General features: G+C 48.4%; 1 long non-coding RNA gene across 1 annotated transcript, besides 7 other annotated features; it reads right to left on the reverse strand.

The window, feature by feature from the left end:
• Positions 1-1,084: 1,084 nt before the first annotated feature.
• On the reverse strand, positions 1,085-16,266 carry LOC105372579 (uncharacterized). The gene is made up of 3 exons (XR_001754564.3): positions 6,938-16,266; positions 5,133-5,247; positions 1,085-1,598 (listed from the first exon to the last, which is right to left on the reverse strand). It is a non-coding gene; the product is annotated as an uncharacterized LOC105372579 (long non-coding RNA).
• Positions 2,074-2,153: an enhancer, noted in NCBI's record as "active region_17664". NCBI's record gives its function as "activates an Ori minimal core promoter by ATAC-STARR-seq in GM12878 lymphoblastoid cells {active_cell/tissue: GM12878}" and the evidence as "EXISTENCE:reporter gene assay evidence [ECO:0000049][PMID:35858748]".
• Positions 2,334-2,383: a silencer, noted in NCBI's record as "silent region_12742". NCBI's record gives its function as "represses an Ori minimal core promoter by ATAC-STARR-seq in GM12878 lymphoblastoid cells {active_cell/tissue: GM12878}" and the evidence as "EXISTENCE:reporter gene assay evidence [ECO:0000049][PMID:35858748]".
• Positions 9,127-9,903: an enhancer, noted in NCBI's record as "H3K27ac-H3K4me1 hESC enhancer chr20:25217963-25218739 (GRCh37/hg19 assembly coordinates)". NCBI's record gives its function as "activates a minimal SCP1, AML or CMV promoter by ChIP-STARR-seq in primed H9 embryonic stem cells {active_cell/tissue: H9 hESC(primed)}" and the evidence as "EXISTENCE:reporter gene assay evidence [ECO:0000049][PMID:30033119]".
• Positions 9,127-10,427: a biological region, named in NCBI's record as "BRD4-independent group 4 enhancer GRCh37_chr20:25218064-25219263".
• Positions 9,228-10,427: an enhancer, noted in NCBI's record as "BRD4-independent group 4 enhancer chr20:25218064-25219263 (GRCh37/hg19 assembly coordinates)". NCBI's record gives its function as "activates an origin of replication core promoter dependent on BRD2, P300/CBP, MED14 and CDK7 cofactors, and independent of BRD4, by STARR-seq in HCT116 cells {active_cell/tissue: HCT116}" and the evidence as "EXISTENCE:reporter gene assay evidence [ECO:0000049][PMID:35650434]".
• Positions 9,633-9,927: an enhancer, noted in NCBI's record as "tiled region #4288; HepG2 Activating DNase unmatched - State 4:PromP, and K562 Activating DNase matched - State 5:Enh". NCBI's record gives its function as "activates a minimal TATA promoter and a strong SV40 promoter by Sharpr-MPRA in HepG2 and K562 cells {active_cell/tissue: HepG2 | K562}" and the evidence as "EXISTENCE:reporter gene assay evidence [ECO:0000049][PMID:27701403]".
• Positions 13,619-14,236: an enhancer, noted in NCBI's record as "NANOG-H3K27ac hESC enhancer chr20:25222455-25223072 (GRCh37/hg19 assembly coordinates)". NCBI's record gives its function as "activates a minimal SCP1, AML or CMV promoter by ChIP-STARR-seq in naive H9 embryonic stem cells {active_cell/tissue: H9 hESC(naive)}" and the evidence as "EXISTENCE:reporter gene assay evidence [ECO:0000049][PMID:30033119]".
• Positions 16,267-18,264: the final 1,998 nt, after the last annotated feature.

Genomic DNA, 18,264 nt, shown 5'->3' on the forward strand with positions numbered 1-18,264 from the left:
TTGTTAAGAAACTAAACGTGCCTGGCCTTGTTTTTTAATTAATTAATTACTTTATTTATTTATTTTTGAGATAGAATCTCCCTTTGTCACCCAGGCTGGAGTGCAGTGGTGCAATCTGGGCTCACTGCAGCCTCCACCTCCCAGGTTCAAGCAGTTGTCCTGCATCATCCTCCTGAGTAGCTGGGATTACAGGCACCCGCTACTGTGCCCGGCTGATTTTTGTATCTTTAGTAGAGATGGGGTTTTGCCATCTTGGCCAGGCTGGTTTTGAACTCCTGACCAGGTGATCTGCCCATCTGGGCCTCCCAAAGTGCTAGGATTACAGGTATGAGCCACCATGCCCTACCTTAACATTTTTAAATACGTTCAGGCACAACAAATCATTGTTGCAGGGTGAATTTTATTTTTAGAACCATTTCAGAGTCATCAGAAGGCAAATGTGGCCAGGCATGGTGGCTCACGCCTGTAATCCCAACACTTTGGAGACCGAGGCAAGTGGATCACTTGAGGTCAGGAGTACGAGACCACCCTGGCCAACATGGCGAAACCCCGTCTCTAATAAACATACCAAAAAAAGAAAGAAAAAAAAAGCCGGGCATAGTGGTAGGCTTCTATAATCCCAGCTACTAGGGAGGCTGAGGTACGAGAGTTGCTTGAACCCAGGAGGCAGAGGTTGCAGTGAGCCGAGATCGCGCCACTGCACTCCAGCCTGGGCAACAGTGAGACTCCATCTCATTAAAAAAAAAAAAGGTAAATGTGATATTCAGACTAGGGTAATACCATTTTTGGATAAAATCAAGGATGATGGCCGGGTGTGGTGGCTCATGCCTGTAATCCCAGCACTTTGGGAGGCTGAGGCGGGTGGATCACGAGGTCAGGAGTTCGAGACCAGCCCTACCAACATGGTGAAACCTCGTCTCTACTAAAAATACAAAAAATTAGCTGGGCCTGGTGGTGCATGCCTGTAGTCCCAGCTACTCCAGAGGCTGAGGCAGGAGAATCACTTGAACCCGGGAGGTGAAGGTTGCAGTGAGCAGAGATCGCACCACTGCACTCCAGCCTGGGTGACAGAGCAAGACTGAGACTCCATCTCAAAAAATCAAGGATGATGAGAGAAATGAGGCAGTTCCAGGAAGGAGCTCTCAGGAGTGTGCAGGTCGCAGCCATCAGTGGCAGAGTCCCCAGGCAAGGTCTTTGAGGAGCCACACTTGGCGTGCAGTCTCTGTTAGAGGTGTTTAATACGACCTGTGTGGAGGCCATGAGATGTGGGGCATGTTTGAAACAACTGGGGCTGTTCATCCTGCAACAAGGAGCTTTTGGCTGGACAGCAATATAACAGGTGTCTTCACTATTACTGAAGGATTGTCAGACGCTGGCTTTTGCCGGGTGGCTCCAGAGGCGGTGGAAGTTATGGGGACACCGCTGTCAGGTTTCTCACTCAAGCATTGCTCACTCGCGCGATGAACGATGTCCAGGGCTGAGGCGGGCTTGTCCTTGGCATGTGCCCCTTCACCTGCGGGCATCGGGGTGCTTGAGAAAGGAGCCTGCGTGATCAGGTTCTTCCAGTGTCTTCACACTCATCAGATTCTTGGATTCGGCTTGAAAATGATTTTGAAAATCATGGTCAGGTAAGCATACTTACCTCTTTCTTCCTTAATTGTAAATGAATAACGGTAGTCGTGTTTATGGAGTGCTTGCTGTGTGTCAGGCATGATGCGGACTGGACTGTGCGTTGTGTGGTCAGAGATTGAATCCTCAGCCTCAAAGTAGGTACCGTGCATCTCCGCCCTGCCGCCGAGAGAGAAGCAGGCCTGCAGGAGCTTGGGGACTTACCTGGACCCACTCAGATGCGGTTCTGCAGGCTTCCTACACCCAAACAGTGGGCTGCCTTACCTCCCAAAGTGGCAAGTGTTTCCAGAGGAATGTTTACTGATCACATCAGGCCGTGTGCTCATTATCAAAGGCAGGTCTCTCCACTGAAGAATCAGCCATCTCCATAACAGTGTGCTTGTAATGCTTACAAAAATAGTTACACAGTTGAGAGAAATAATAATTCCCTCTAGGCCTCACTGCTGCTTTATCATTTTGACAGCCTCTGATTATTTTCCTGTTATTGATTCAGTGGATAAAGGTTTCCGTTTAAGAGCTTAAGTGCAGCCTTGTGAATCTTAGTACCTGCCACATGATTTACATAGTTCAGAAGCAGACATCCCCCTATAAGGCCTCCTGTTTCAAGAAGCCTCTCTAGAGGTCAGAAGAGCCCACAGCCAAGTTTTATGGCACAGCACAGGGTGGTAGGATGGCTCTAAATACGGCTTCCGAGAGGGTCGAGTGCTCAGCTGGCACAGAGCTGTAGTTCCTGCAGACCTACCAGGGAGGACAGCCAGGGATCGCATGGTTTTGTAAATTAAAATGCCCAAGCTCAGAGGCCTGCAAGGACTTACCTTAAAGCAACAGGCAGGCCAGGTGCGGTGGCTCACAACTATAATCCCAGCACTTTGGAAGGCTGAGGTTGGCAGATCACAAGGTCAGGAGTTCGAGACCAGCCTGGCCAATATGGTGAAACCCCATCTCTACTAAAAATACAAATATTAGCCAGGCATGGTGGCAGGCGCCTGTAGTCCCAGCTACCTGGGAGGCTGAGGCAGGAGAATGGCTTGAACCCAGGAGGCGGAGGTTGCAGTGAGCCGAGATCAAGCCACTGCACTCCAGCCTGGGCGACAGAGCGAGACTGCGTCTCAAATAAATAAGGCAACAAGGAGAGTCTGGATGCAGTGGCTCATGCTTGTAATCCCAGCACTTTAGGAGGCCAAGGCAGGCAGATCACAAGGTCAGGAGTTCAAGACCAACCTGGCCAACATAGTGAAACCATGTCTCCATTAAAAATATAAAAATTAGCCAGGCATGATGGCCCATGCCTGTAATCCCAGCTACTTGAGAGGCTGAGGCACAAGAATCACTTGAACCTGGGAGGCGGAGGTTGCAGTAAGCCAAGATTGTGCTGCTGCACTCCAACCTAGGGGGCAAAGCAAGACTCTCAAAAAAACAAAAAAACAGGGAGAGTTTTCCTGTTGATAGTCACCTGGGCTGTTTCCTGTTTGGAGCTTTATGAATAAGGCTTCTGTGAACATTCTTGTGCAAGTCTTTTTATAGGCATAGGTTTTTATTTCATTTGGATGAATATCTAAAGGCAGAATGGCTGGGTCATATGGCATGTGAATGTTTAACTTTATAAGAACCTACTGGGCTCGGCGCGGTGGCTCGCGCCTGTAATCCCAGCACTTTGGGAGGCCGAGGCAGGCAGATCACGAGTGTCAGGCCTCTGAGCCCAAGCCAAGCCATCGCATCCCCTGTGACTTGCACGTATACATCCAGATGGCCTGAAGTAACTGAAGATCCACAAAAGAAGTAAAAATAGCCTTAACTGATGACATTCCACCATTGTGATTTGTTTCTGCCCCACCCTCACTGATCAATGTACTTTGTAATCTCCACCACCCTTAAGAAGATTCTTTATAATTTCCCCCACCCTTAAGAAGGTTCTTTGTAATTCTCCCAACCCTTGAGAATGTACTTTGTGAGATCCACCCCAGCCCGCAAAACATTGCTCTTAACTTCACCGCCTATCCCAAAACCTATAAGAACTAATGATAATCCACCACCCTTTGCTGACTCTCTTTTCGGGCTCAGCCCGCCTGCACCCAGGTGAAATAAACAGCCATGTTGCTCACACAAAGCCTGTTTGGTGATCTCTTCACAGGGACGCGCATGAAAACGAGGTAAAGAGATCAAGACCATCCTGGCCAACATGGTGAAACCCTGTCTCTACTAAAAATACAAAAATTGGCTGGGTGTGGTGACGTGTGCCTGTAGCCCCAGCTACTCAGGAGGCTGAGGCAGGATAATCGCTTGAACCCGGGAGGCGGAGGTTGCAGTGAGCCAAGATTGTGCCACTGCACTCCATCCTGGCAACAGAGTGAGACTCCATCTCAAAAAAAAAAAAAAAAACCTACCAAACCATTTTCCAACACGCCTGTAACATTTTACACTCCCATTAGCAGTGTGTGAGAGTTCCTGTATAATATAAACTAGGGTTTTCAGCTTTCTATAAATTAAGAGATTTCAGAGGACTTTTTTTACTGACTCTCCAGACATTGGCATAGTATTCAGCCTTAAAAAGAACTGAATTTCTAGCCAGGTGCCATGGCTCACACCTGTAATCCCAGCACTTTGGGAGGCTGAGGTGGGTGGATCACAAGGTCAGGAGTTCAAGACCAGCCTGGCCAACATGGTGAAACCACGTCTCTACTAAAAATACAAAAATAAAATTAGCTGGGTATGGTGGTGAGCACCTGTAATCCTAGCTACTCGGGAAACTGAGTCAGCAGAATCACTTGAACCCGGGATGCAGATGTTGCAGTGAGCTGAGATTGCGCCATTGCACTCCAGCCTAGACAACAGGGCGAGACTCCGTCATAAAAAAAAAAAAAAAAAAAAAATTAGCTGGGCGTGGTGGCACACGCCTGTAGTCCCAGCTACTTGGGAGGCTGAGGCAGGAGAATCGCTTGAACCCAGTAGGCGGAGGTAGTGGTGAGCCGAGATTGCGCCACCACACTCCAGCCTGGGCGACAGAGCGAGACTCAGAAAAAAAGAATTGAATTTCTGACCCATGCTGCAACATGGTGAACCTTGGAAACATTATGCTAAGGTGAAAAAAGCTAGACACAAAGGACTCTGTAGTCTATGATTCCATTTATGTGAAATGGCCCGTCCACAGAGACAGATTGGTGGTTGCCAGGAGCTGGGGTTGGGAGAAGGAAGAGTAACTGACTGACTGGTGCGCAGGGCTTTTGAAAAAGTTTAACACTTAGATTATGGTGCTGCTCACACAACTCCATAAATATACTGTAAACCATGGACTTGTGCACTTAAACAGGCAGCTTTCTGGTATAAAAATTACATCTCAGTAAAGCAGTTTGAAAAATGAAGACTCGAACTCTAGAAGGCAACAGTCTGAAAACAATAGGTTTCCTCCAGAAAGTTCCGCTGAGGTAAAGCTCATTCTAGTCTGAGAGCAGATGACCTTCTCTTGTCTTTTCAAACCTTAGACTTCAGTGTTGTCCTTGCCTCACCTTAGACCCTGAGAGGAGCATCAGACCTGCTCGTTCGCTGGTGAACCCAAGTCCAGCAGGTGCTGCCCTGGTGCGGGGGTCCCTCAGCCACCTGTTGAGTGACGGGAGGTTGCCTCTAAAAAGGAGAGGAATTGAAATCCTCACACTGGGGATATTGGTCCTCCTCCACACCCCCACCCCGGCATTTCCTAGTGCAGCCAGCGATCCTCCTGTTTTCTCAGTGGGTGTGCCTGGCCTGGACTCCACCCAAGCCAAACAGCCGAGGTGAAATGGTTGGGCAGAGCAAACAGGCTTTTGCCAGGAGCCTTGCTTTACTTCCCCTTGGACAAATCACACTGGGCTTAAAGCCTCCACTGGAATTCCTCCTGCTGCTGTGAGGCCCAGAGTGGCCACATCCCCTGCCTGATGGGGTCTTGAGTCACTAGCTCTCTCTGGGTTTTACCTTGACCTAGTGAATGTTTTTCTAAGAATATTTTATTATTGAGGTATCATTTTCATATAATAGTGAAGGGGTGGGTTGCCCCTCCACACCTGTGGGTGTTTCTCATTAGGTGGAACAAGAGACTTGGAAAAGAAAGAGACACAGAGACAAAGTAGAGAGAAAGAAAAAAGGGGGCCCAGGGGACCAGCGTTCAGCATACGGAAGATCCCACCAGCCTCTGAGTTCCCTTAGTATTTATTGATCATTCTTGGGTGTTTCTCGGAGAGGGGGATGTGGCAGGGTCATAGGATAATAGTGGAGAGAAGGTCAGCAGGTAAACACGTGAACAATGGTCTCTGCATCATGAACAAGGTAAAGAATTAAGTGCTGTGCTTTAGATATACATACACATAAACATCTCAATGCCTTAAAAAGCAGTATTGCTGCCCTCATGTCCCACCTCCAGCCCTAAGGCGGTTTTCCCCTATCTCAGTAGATGGACTATACAATCGGGTTTTACACCAAGACATTCCATTGCCCAGGGACGAGCAGGAGACAGATGCCTTCCTCTTGTCTCAACTGCAAAGAGGCGTTCTTTCCTCTTTTACTAATCCTCCTCAGCACAGACCCTTTATGGGTGTCGGGCTGGGGGATGGTCAGGTCTTTCCCTTCCCATGAGGCCATATCTCAGGCTATCACATGGGGAGAAACCTTGGACAATACCTGGCTTTCCTAGGCAGAGGTCCCTGCGGCCTTCCCCAGTGTTTTGTGTCCCTGGATACTTGAGATTAGGGAGTGGTGATGACTCTTAAGGAGCATGCTGCCTTCAAGCATCTGTTTAACAAAGCACATCTTGCACAGCCCTTAATCCATTTAACCCTGAGTTGACACAGCACATGTTTCAAGGAGCACAGAGTTGGGGGTAAGGTTACAGATTAACAGAATCTCAAGGCAGAAGAATTTTTCTTAGTACAGAACAAAATGGAGTCTCCTATGTCTACTTCTTTCTACACAGACACAGTAACAATCTGATCTCTCTTTTCCTCACATAATAGGACACACAGATCTTAGGTGTACAGTTCAAATCATTTTGGCAAATGCATGCACCCATGTGGCTCACACCCCCATCAAAATAGAGAACATTGCTATTACCCCAGAAAACTCTGAGAGTACCCTGCCCCTGGACTCTAGCAGCCCCTATCTGATGTCCGTCATGACGTATTACTGTCACCCGTTCTGGAACATTATGTAAATGGCATCATCCAGTGTCTGCTCTTGTGTGTCTGGTCTTCAGCTAAGCATGATGTTTGTGAGATTCATGCAGGTGGATGCATGCAGCTCATTCCTTTTCATTGTTGAATAGTAATCAATTATTTCAACATACCACACTTTGTTTCTTCATTTGCCTGTTGATATTCCCCTGGGCCGTTTCCTCTTTGGAGCTTTAATGAATAAGTCTTCTGTGTCCATTCTTGTGCAAGGCTTTTATAGGCATATATTTTTATTTCTTTTGGATGAATATCTAAAGGCAGAATGGCTGGGTCATATGTCATGTGAATGTTTAACTTTATAAGAACCTACCAACCAGTTATAACCGGTTATAAGAACCTACTAATGGCCGGGCGCGGTGCCTCACGCCTGTAATCCCAGCACTTTGGGAGGCTGAGGTGGGCGGATCACGAGGTCAGCATATCGAGACCATCCTGGCTAACACAGTGAAACCACGTCTCTACTAAAAATACAAAAAAATTAGCTGGGCGTGGTGGCGGGCGCCTGTAGTCCGAGCTGCTCGGGAGGCTGAGGCAGGAGAATGGTGTGAACCTGGTAAGCAGAGCTTGCAGTGAGCTGAGATGGTGCCACTGCACTCCAGCCTGGGCGACAGAGCGAAACTCCGTCTCCAAAAAAAAAAAACCTACCAACATGGCTGTAACATTTTACTCTCCCATTAGCAGTGTGTGAGGATTCCAGTTGCTCCACATCCATGCTAGCACTTGGTACTGTCCGTAATTTTAATATTAACTGTTCTGGGGGGAGTACTGCTGTCCTATTATGCTGTTGTCATTTTTTGAACAGATAGGGTCTCACTAAGTTGCCCAGGCTGGACTCAAACTCCTGAGCTCAAGTGATTCTCCCACCTCAGCTTCGGAGTAGCTGGAACTACAGGTGCATGCCACCACACCTGGCTCCATGGAGTTTTAATGTGCATCACCCTGAGTGAGGCAGTGAATTTTAAAGGAGCCTCCAAGAATCCTCCTGCCCAGGCCAGCCTGCCTCCCCTCCCAAGCACCCTGTTGCCTGGCATGCTGCATAGAGAACCAACGGGACTCCTTCCTGAGGACTCACCTGTGAGCCTGGACGTGCAAGGCAGCGCTACGGATACAGGTTCCTCGCCCAGAGGTCCACACTCCAGGGTAGTGAACGGCCAACTCTTTCTGTAAAGAGCAGCCGGTAAATATTTCAGGCTTTGCAGGCCATGCAGTCTCTGTTTTGGCTGCTCACCTCTGCTGCCGAAGAGTGACAGAAACTTAGACAACTGTAAATGAATGAGAGAAGCTGTGTCCCAACTTGATTTATGGACACTGAAATTCAAATTTCATATCATTTTAACACCATGATTACTTGGATTTTTTTTTCAATCATTTAAAAATGTAAAAGGTATTCCTAGCTTGAGAGCCGTACAAAAACAGGCAGGGGATCAGATCCAGAGGCTCCTGTGCTCAGTGCCCCGTTTTAGGCAGGAAGAGCAGCCAGCTCGGGGCACTTCTGCACTAGGCAGGCTCTCAGGAGCGGCTTCGCAGAGAACCAGGGCCGGCCACACGGAGCTCCAGCATCCTGCCTGCTCCAGGAGGCAGCTTCCTCAGGATGAGTCCAGGTAGGGACCCACACCACTCCCAAGGGAAACACCGAAGGGCCAGAGGAGGGAGACAGCCAGGCTGGGAAGGGCTTGAGAGTGCCCGATTGGTGTCCACAGCTCCTCCCTGCCCAGCAGGCAGCTCCCAAGCTCCCTGATTACGGGCTTCCTCTGTCTCCCTCCGGCCTCCCTGACATCAGTACTGCTCCCTGCTCGCCTGGTCCCTTTGGAATCCACACATCAGGATGCCCACTGGTTTTGGCCCAGTGTTTGCCTTCACCCTGGTTACCTCCTCAAGTCTGTCTTTGCTCTGCCCATGCCCAGCCTGAGGACCTGCCAGGAAGGGGTCTGGGTTGGGGGTGTAGGATTCTTGTCTTTTTTGTGAGGTAGTGGTTTGCAGGAAGGGTGCCGGGCTCAGACCTCCATCTGGGGAGTGGAGTCTGCAGCCTGTGGAGGCTCTGAGGAGGGCCCAGGAGGCAGGAGGACCTGTGTGGAGTCTACTGCAGGGCCCCCAGCAACAGGACCCCAAGAGCAGTAGCCACAGGTTGGAAGAGGGATGTGCATCCCCACAAGGAACAAAACACAATGGCTGGGCGCGGTGGCTCATGCCTGTAATCCCTGCACTTTGGGAGGCTGAGGTGGGTGGATCACCTGAGGTCAGGAGTTTGAGACCAGCCTGGCCAACATGATGAAACCCCGTCTCTACTAAAAATACAAAAAATTAGCCAGGTGCAGTGGTGGGTGCCTGCAATTCCAGCTACTCAGGAAGCTGAGGCAGGAGAACCGCTTGAACCTGGGAGGTGGAGGTCGCAATGAGCCTAGATCATGCCAAAAAAAAAAAAAATGCAAGGCAAGTCCTGAGCCGGTGGCCCCCGGCCTCCTCCTGGGAAGACTGGCTGCTGGGCAGATTCCTTGTAGCTTGTGGAGAAGGCCTGGGTGTCGCTGGTACCACTGGCCTTAACGAAGGACCTAGAGCCCTGTTGGGTGTGGGGAGGGCCAGGAGGCATTAGATAAGGTAGGGAGGAAGATGGTGGACGGCCCATGACCGTGGGATGTGGGACCCCGCAGGCCCATGGCCCAGGTCCAGGGAGGTCTGTCACACCCACAGATGCTGCCCACAGGTGGTGGTTGCCAAGTGTGCCCATAGTACACTGTCACACTTGCATACACCAGACTGCAATGAAGAGCTTCTCCAGACCCCACTCCTCACAGCCCCTCCAGTTGCATGCAGCGGGAGGTTCAGCCACTGTCCTTCCTAACAGGGTAGAGGTCTGACGCCTGAGGGCTTTGGGGAACAGGATGTGCTCTTTTGGGCTGGTCCCTCACACAGCATTACTCATCCATGTGGGAGAGCGAAGTCGTAGGTGACTCATCCTTGTGTTGGTGTGAATATGCCACAGTGTATTTATCCATTCCAGTGATGACAGACGTTTGCATCATTTCCAGTTTGGGACTGTTCTGAATAGGGCTGTTCTGAACGTTCTTGTACTTGCCTTGGGGTGAGCATAAGTATTCATTTCTGTTGGGTGTTTTCTTTGGAGTAGAATTGCTGGGTCATAGGGAGGCATTTGTTCAGTGAACACTGCCAGTTTTTCAAAGGGATTGTACTAACCTATAAGGAGTTGTGTTGATGTGGAAACTGAAGGCGCTGAGAAGCACATTAGGGTTAGTGGGTGACATCAGGGACACCCCCAAACTGATATTGAGGGGGTCCAACTTGAGGTGTTCAGGACCATTTCACAGGTGTCCCAAAGGACAGGGGCTCCAGCTGACACTGTCAGTCCTGACAAGAAAGGACTGAAATAGAATCTCCGGCATTTGCTGTAGGATTTGGATTTGAGGGGCTGTGAAAGGGGAGAATATTGGAAATGCCAGGCTGGGAGTCTGGAGATGGAGAGCAGCATGCTTTGATGCAACTGTGGGCCGTAGTGACACAGGCTGAGGAAGGAGTCAGAGCCCAGGCAGTCTGGCATGCTGGGCAAGTCCCACCGGTTCAGAGAAGGGGCAAGGGTTTGAATGCCTTCCCCTCCAGAACTCGTGTTGAATTTCGATTGCTGGTGTAATGGTATTGGGAGGTGGCGCCTTTAAGAGGCGATTAAGCCATGAGAGCTGCACCCTTATGGTGGGTTTAATGCCTTACTGAGAGGGCTTTGGGAGTGGGTTCTCTCTTGGCTTTTCACCTTCTGCCATGTAAGCATGCAGCCTTCCTCCCCTCCGGAGGACGCACCGTGCAAAAGACACCATGGAAGAAGCAAAGAGCCTCACCAGGCCCCAAACCTGCCGGCATCTTGACTGCACACTGAGAAGGACACTCCATCCTTAGACTTTTCAGCCTCCAGAACCGTGAGGTTGTAGTAGTCCATTTTTGCATTGCTCTAAATACTTGAGACTGGGTAATTTATAAAGAAAAGAGGTTTAATTGGCTCATAGTTCTGCAGGCTGTATAGCAAGCGTAGTACCGATATCTGCTCAGCCTCTGGGGAGGCCTCAGGAATCTTACAATCATGGTGGAAGGCGAAGGGGAAGGCAGGCAGATCACATGGCCAGAGCAGAAGCAAGGGGTGGGGCGCACACTTTTAAACAACCAGATTTCGTGAAAACTCACTATCTTAAGAACAGCATCAAGGAGATGGTGCTAAACCATTCATGAGAAATCCACCCCATCATCGAGTCACTTCTCACCAGGCCCTACCTCCAAAACAACTCAACATAATCACAATTCACCACGAGGTTTAGGTGGGAACACAGACCCAAACCGTATCAGAGGTCTTTGTGTTTTGTGCGGATGTGAAGCTCAGTGCCTGGCTGGCAGTAGGTGCAGTGCAGATGGAGCCAGTGTGTGATGAATGAAGGAAGGGTCCTTTGCTGGTGGGGTCCGGGTCTCACCAACCTGGTGTCCCCTCGGGGCCTAACGGGTGGGAAGTGGCCAGATGGAGGACTCCTCCTGGGTTGTCTGAGAACACTGGGCCGGCGCACTTCGGTGGCCCAGAGGCAGTTCCTAGGTACACTTGCTTTCCAGCGCCATTTCCACAGGTGCTGTGCTCATCCTTCTCACTTTAATTCAGGCTAGCTGGAGAGAGCCAGGCTTTCTCAGTGTGAACTTAACCTGTCCTCTGGAGAGGCCGGACATTTTAACAGCCAGGCCTGTGGGTGCACTGGAACCTTCCACTCAGTGCTATGCTGGCAGGTTTGTGTTGGCCAGATGGGTGGGAGGACCCCTGAGCGTCTAAGTGACGATTTCATCCCGGGCCTGATACAGACTGAGCAGGAAGTGGTGGGGTGCAGACATGCATATCGGTGGCTCAGCCTGGCCTTCTGAGCCCTGCCTCTTGGATGAAACCACCCACCTGGTCACTCTGGGGCAGCGAGGAGTGCAGCCCAGTGCTCAGCTCCACAGTGACCACTACAGCTCCCAGGGTGGGCCCGTTTAACATATACCCTCTCCCCCAAAGTCAGGACATGTTTCTGACTTGTAAGACAGAAGGGTGGTGGCCCTAGGCTGTGACCAGCTTGCTATCTCTTTAGCATGCTAACCTGTCCCTTACTAACTCCTGTCAGGGGAGGGCTGGGGCAGGGTACCAGGCCCACTCTCGTCCCAGCTCTGGGACTCATCTCGCAGTCATTCAGTAGCGGTGGTTAGGCCTAGCTCACAGATGCCTTGAGGCCCCCCCAAGAGTCCCTGTGCCCCCATCCACATACTGGGGAAGTCCTGCTAGAACCGGGCCACTGGGTTAGAAAGGCAGCCCACCCTATGGCAGAGATTCCCACATTGCACAGTAAAAATATGCCCTAGAGATGGCCGAGCGCAGTGGCTCGTGCCTGTAATCCTAGCACTTTGGGAGGCCAAGGTGGGTGGATCACCTGAGGTTGGGAGTTCAAGACCAGCCTGACCAACATGGTGAAACTCCATCTCTACTAAAAATACAAAAATTAGGTGGGTGCCTGTAATCCCAGCTGCTCAGGAGGCTGAGGCACGAGAATCGCTTGAACCTGGGAGGTGGAGGTTGCAGTGAGCCGAGATCCTGCCATTGCACTCCAGCCTGGGCAACAAGAGCAAAACTCCGTCTCAAAAAAAAAAAAAAAAAAAAGTGCTCTGGAGGTGCTCACTAAGCAGGTGGAATTCTGGGTTTGGGGCTTTGGGAATGTGCTAGTCACAAGCCCTGTGGAGAGTTTTTATTTGCAAGTTTGGGAAACTGCCTCAAGTATTATCTGCACTTCTATAAACTGTGTCCTAGAAGCCTGTACTATGTTATTATGTAATGTAATATACTACATATGTTAGTGTATAATATACTGCGTTATGTTATAGCAGAGTAAGTGATGTTTGTCCTTCTTGGTGCACTGAATCAGACTCATAGTGTGGGTTTGTCCCCTGGGTGGCAATGCTAAGTTGTGTCACTTCATGAGGCTGGAGTCTGCCATAACTCTCCATTGCAAATCCCTTTTCCCTTTTATAGCTAATAAAGATAATGTGTAGGGTGAGGCTTTGAGATGGAATGAATCCCCTGTTCCCCTGTGGCCGTTGTCCAGTAGTTCTCAGAATCTCCTCCTGCATTGATTTGGCATCCTGTAGAGAGGAGCGGCTTCCTTCTTCCCTATCTCCATTTCATTTCTTCTCAGTATCACTCTGGTCTCATAGATTGTGGGGAAAAGAAAGAGAGATCAGATTGTTACTGTGTCTGTGTAGAAAGAAGTAGACATAGGAGACTCCATTTTGTTCTGTACTAAGAAAAATTCTTCTGCCTTGAGATGCTGTTAATCTATAACCTTACCCCCAACCCTATGCTCTCTGAAACATGTGCTGTGTCAACTCAGGGTTAAATGGATTAAGGGCTGTGTAAGATGTGCTTTGTTAAACAGATGCTTGAAGGCAGCATGCTCATTAAGAGTCATCACCACTCCCTAATCTCAAGTACCCAGGGACACAAACACTGCGGAAGGCCGCCGCAGGGACGTCCACCTAGGAAAGTCAGGTATTGTCCAAAGTTTCTCCCCATGTGATAGTCTGAAATATGGCCTCGTGGGAAGGGAAAGACCTGACCGTCCCCCAGCCCGACGCCCATAAAGGGTCTGTGCTGAGGAGGATTAGTAAAAGAGGAAGGAATGCTTCTTTGCAGTTGAGACAAGAGGAAGGCATCTGTCTCCTGCCCCTCCCTGGGCAATGGAATGTCTCGGTATAAAACCCGATTGTATGTTCCATCTACTGAGATGGGGTAAACTGCCTTAGGGCTGGAGGTGGGACATGCGGGCAACAATACTGCTCTGTAAGACATTGAGATGTTTATGTGTATGCATATCTAAAGCACAGCACTTAATTCTTTACCTTGTCTATGATGCAGAGACCTTTGTTCATGTGTTTATCTGCTGACCTTCTCTCCACTATTATCCTGTGACCCTGCCACATCCCCCTCTCCGAGAAACACCCAATAATGATCAATAAATACTAAGGGAACTCAGAGGCTGGCAGGATCCTCCATATGCTGAACGCTGGTCCCCTGGGCCCCCTTATTTCTTTCTCTATACTTTGTCTCTGTGTCTTTTTCTTTTCCAAGTCTCTCGTTCCACCTAACGAGAAATACCCACAGGTGTGGAGGGGCAACCCAGCCCTTCAATAGATTCTTTTTCCTTTAATGTCAGTGTGTTAAAATCATTAATGTCACTAAGAATATCTGTTGACACACCCCAGTGGAGGGAGGGCATCAGTTCCACAGTGTCATTCCAGCTGGTGGGCTCTTTATTCCCTCGAGCTTTATAATTACCAGCCTCTCAAAAATAATGCATTTGTTATTTATCTCTGTTTCCTGAAAGCCTGGGTCTGTGTTCATTTGCAAACACGAAATTGACCAGCACAGATCTGCCAGTGGCGTTGCTGGGATCCCAGAGAGATTTTCCCTCCGCACCTGCGGTCTCAAGGGCCGGCGGTGCTTCTGAGTCACTCATTTCACCAGCGATCAATGAGACACTCTTCAGGTCCTCAAGAAGCTTAAGCCTAGCCGACCAAAAATGTCTGTTTTCCACACCCCGCTTCTAAGTCCCACAGCATCTTCTTCCATTCACAAGACATCTTTCATCTCTTTTTCTGAGGCAGATGACAGGGGACTTGCTACAGACAGAATCTTAAATACCTATTTAAAGAACTTCAGGCTGGGCACAGTGGCTCATGCCTGTAATCCCAACACTTTAGGGAGACCGAGTTGGGTGGATGGCTTGAGCCTATGAGTTCAAGACCAGCCTAGGCAACATAGAGAAAGCTCATCTCTATAATAAATACAAAAATTAGCTGGGCGTGGTGGCATGCACCTGTAGTTCCAACTACTTGGGAGGCTGGGGTGGGAGGATAACCTGAGCCTGGGAGATCGAGGCTGCAGTGAGCCGTGATCACACCATGGCATTCCAGCCTGGGCAACACCATGAAACCCTGTCTCAAAAACAAAAAGATAAAAGAACTTTAAAGGTAATGTATTATCTCCAGCAACACAGAATAGCTCCCTACAACAGTAACGAAACCAGAACCAGCATCCATCCCTTCTTAGTGATTTTTTAAAAATTACCTCCCAAAAGGAGAAGACAGAGACGTAGAGGACAGTCTAAAACAGGGATTCCCTGATGCTGAGGTTAGCAGATGCTCTGGCCTGATCACTGCTCTGATCCAGGCTGCCAGAACAATCCTTTCTCTTAGAAGGGCAAAACTGCTTTTCAGCTTTATATAAAATAAAAGCATAGCCCAATTTCTTTCCATTTTGCCTGTTCTGAAGCCTGGCAGTTTTGTTGCTAAAATGGAAGATGAAGCTGAATCCAACTCTTGGTTATTTACAGAAGGAAAAAAATCTTTTCCCCAGCCCATGTTAGGGTCTCCAGCTAGGGGGCCTCTAATTACACCAGCCAAAGACAATTCAATCAGGCAAGAAAAAAACAAGTTTATTGGCATGTGCATTGCACTTACATGTGGCAGTACCTGGCAATGAATAACCCAAAGTGTGGTCAGGACTTGGGTTCATCTATCATCTTAGGCTGACATAAAGGAAAAGGCCTGGAGCTTCTGGGCAGGGGAGGCATGTAGTGGGAAGGTGTCTTGGTCTATTTGTGCTGCTGTAACAGAATGCCACAGACTGTGTAATTTATAAAGAAAAGTGGCTTATCTGGCTCATGGTTCTGAAGACTGGGAAGTCCAAGAGCATGGCATTGGCATCTGGTGAGGGCCTTTATGCTACATTGTCCCATGGAAGGAGGGTGGAAGTACAAGAGAGGGTGAAAGAGACAGAACAAGAGAGGGTCAAACTCATTTTTATAACAACCCACTCCCACAATGGCATTAATCTATCCTTGAGGGTGGAGGCCTCATGGCCTAATCACCTCTGAACAGTCCTACCTCTTATACAATGGCAATTAAATTTCAACATGAGTTTTGGAGGGTATATTCAAACCTCAGCAGAAGGTGCCCAGGAAAAGTATGGTAAACAAGGGTTGTTTAGGAAGGTTTGTTATGCAGACTTAAGTCAGTACTTTCTTCCACTGATAAGAGTTGTTACAAGATATCCTCTTCCTTGCATGGAAGAGGGAGACGTGGAAATTTCCTTTATAATAAATGTGAATTTTTTTTACAAAATGAAAATGGTTTTTAGAGCCTTTCCTGTGGTCTGCTGGTTCTTAATGGCCTTTAATTCAAAATAATCCACATGCGAAGAGGCATATTTTGGGGTGGTGTATCCCAATGCCCCTCAGATGCCTCTTTTGTGAACTGTCCAAGTGGATGCCCACCTCAGGACCTTTGCATTTGCTATTCCCCCAGATTCATTCATGCCTTTTTTTTTTTTTAGATGGAGTCTTGCCCTGTCGCCCAGACTGCAATCTCGGCTCACTGCAACCTCCACCTCCGGGTTCAAGCGATTCTCATACCTCAGACTCCCAAGTGCTGGGATTACAGGCATGCGCCACCACGCCCAGCTAACTTTTGTATTTTTGGTAGAGACGGGGTTTCATCATGTTGGCCAGGCCGGTCTTGAACTCGTGACTTCAAGTGATCCACCCACCCTGGCCTCCCAAAGTGCTGAGATTACAGGTGTGAGCCACTGCACCTGGTCCATTCTTTCATTTTTTTTTTTTAGTCTCAGCTGAGATATCACCTCCTGTAACTAACAGCTCAACCTGCTTTTCTTTACAACACTTAAAACTATCTAAAAATTATTTATTTGAAAATGATGGCCAGGTGCGGTGGCTTACGCCTGTAATCCCAGCACTTTGGGGGGCTGAGGCGGGCGGATCACCTGAGGTCAGGAGTTAAAGACCAGCCCAGAAACATGGTGAAATCCTGTCTCCACTAAAAATACAAAAATTAGCTGGGCATGGTAGTGAGTGCCTATAATCCCAGCTACATGGGAGGCTGAGGCAGGAGAATTGCTTGAACCCAGGAGGCGGAGGTTGCAGTGAGCGGAGATTGCACCACTGCACTCCAGCCTGGGTGACAGAGCAAGACTCCATCTCAAAAACATTAATAATAAATAAATAAATAAATTACCTGAAAATGGCTGAGATAATTAATACTGGGACTCATTTAGCCACTTCAGCAATATTAGCGGCCAGAGGAGGTGAGGAGACATGATGGTGAGAGGGCTCCTTCCTGCGTCAACCATGCGCATTATGAAGAGTCACATCATGAAGATTCAGTATTGGACTAAGTGCTGCAGGAGAGGGGAAGGACCATGGCAGCTCCCAGGAAGAGGAAATGACATCTGGGTAAGATAACTGTTAAAGAAAAAAAATAATCAATAGCATTTGTTAAAGCATGGTACCAGACTTTATTCACAACCATCATGATAGGTACAGGGACCACTGCAACGGGATCTTGCAGCAGGGGAGAGAGATTGGGCTCAACTCCGAAAACAGCATGGGCAAGTGGGCATTTATAGCCAAGGACTGGGGGAGGGGTCAGTGGATGGACAGTTACTAAGAGGACACTTCAGGGGTCCAGGTGATTGTGTCTAAACCACCTCATAGGATTCCTGTTGAAGGCAGGCCAGGGTGATTGGACAGCATGGGGGATGGTGGAGCATGGGGAGCCTGATCAGATGTCACCAAGGGGGATCAGACATCAGGGGCAGGGAATCCTGCTAAATTGACAAAGCAGGGATTGCTAAAACAGATGTCACAGGGAAGTGTATGATGGCCCTACAAGGCTCAGAAGCCTGACTAGAGTTTGGTCAAAGAATTTTTGTCAGGATCATGGAAAATTTAATAAAGTGTAGCTATGAAAGAAAGGACTTAAAATTTATTTAACCAGAGTAACAAAGAATTAAAAGTCAATCCAGTAAGAGAATATATAGGCCTTAAATCAGCATCCATTAGTGAAGTCTGTGGCCTCTAGTTTTTCTTACTAAAACTTACTCCACTTACAAAAGAAATATTGTGGAAAAAACAGGAAATACAAAATGTATGGAGAAAATAAGATAACCCCCCTGATAATTCTTCCATTCAGAAATAACCAGTGTTTAGGTTTGGATATACACCTGTGTTTCTAACACAGTAGTCCCTAGCCACATGTGGTTATTTAATTTAAATTTAAATTGACTAAATGAAAGTAATATTCAAATCATTACTGTCATTTCTGCATTACATCCTTATTTTTGTGTTTCATTTATCAGTATTGTGTCATCAATCACACCTTCCTAGCTAGCTATTAAAACAGTCATTCCTTTTAGCAGCACAATGGTTTATGATATTAACTTTGAGCACAGATACATTTTTCTGGGCTTGTGCAGTGGAGCAGGGCTTGGCTGGGGTGAACCTTGGCTGTTTCCCTTATTAGCTGTGTGGGCTTAGGGAAGAGTTAACTTCTCTGTGGCTCACCTTCTCCATTGTCAAGC

The sequence above is a fragment of the Homo sapiens genome, chromosome 20, assembly GCF_000001405.40.
Source record: "Homo sapiens chromosome 20, GRCh38.p14 Primary Assembly".
Classification (NCBI taxonomy): domain Eukaryota; kingdom Metazoa; phylum Chordata; class Mammalia; order Primates; family Hominidae; genus Homo; species Homo sapiens.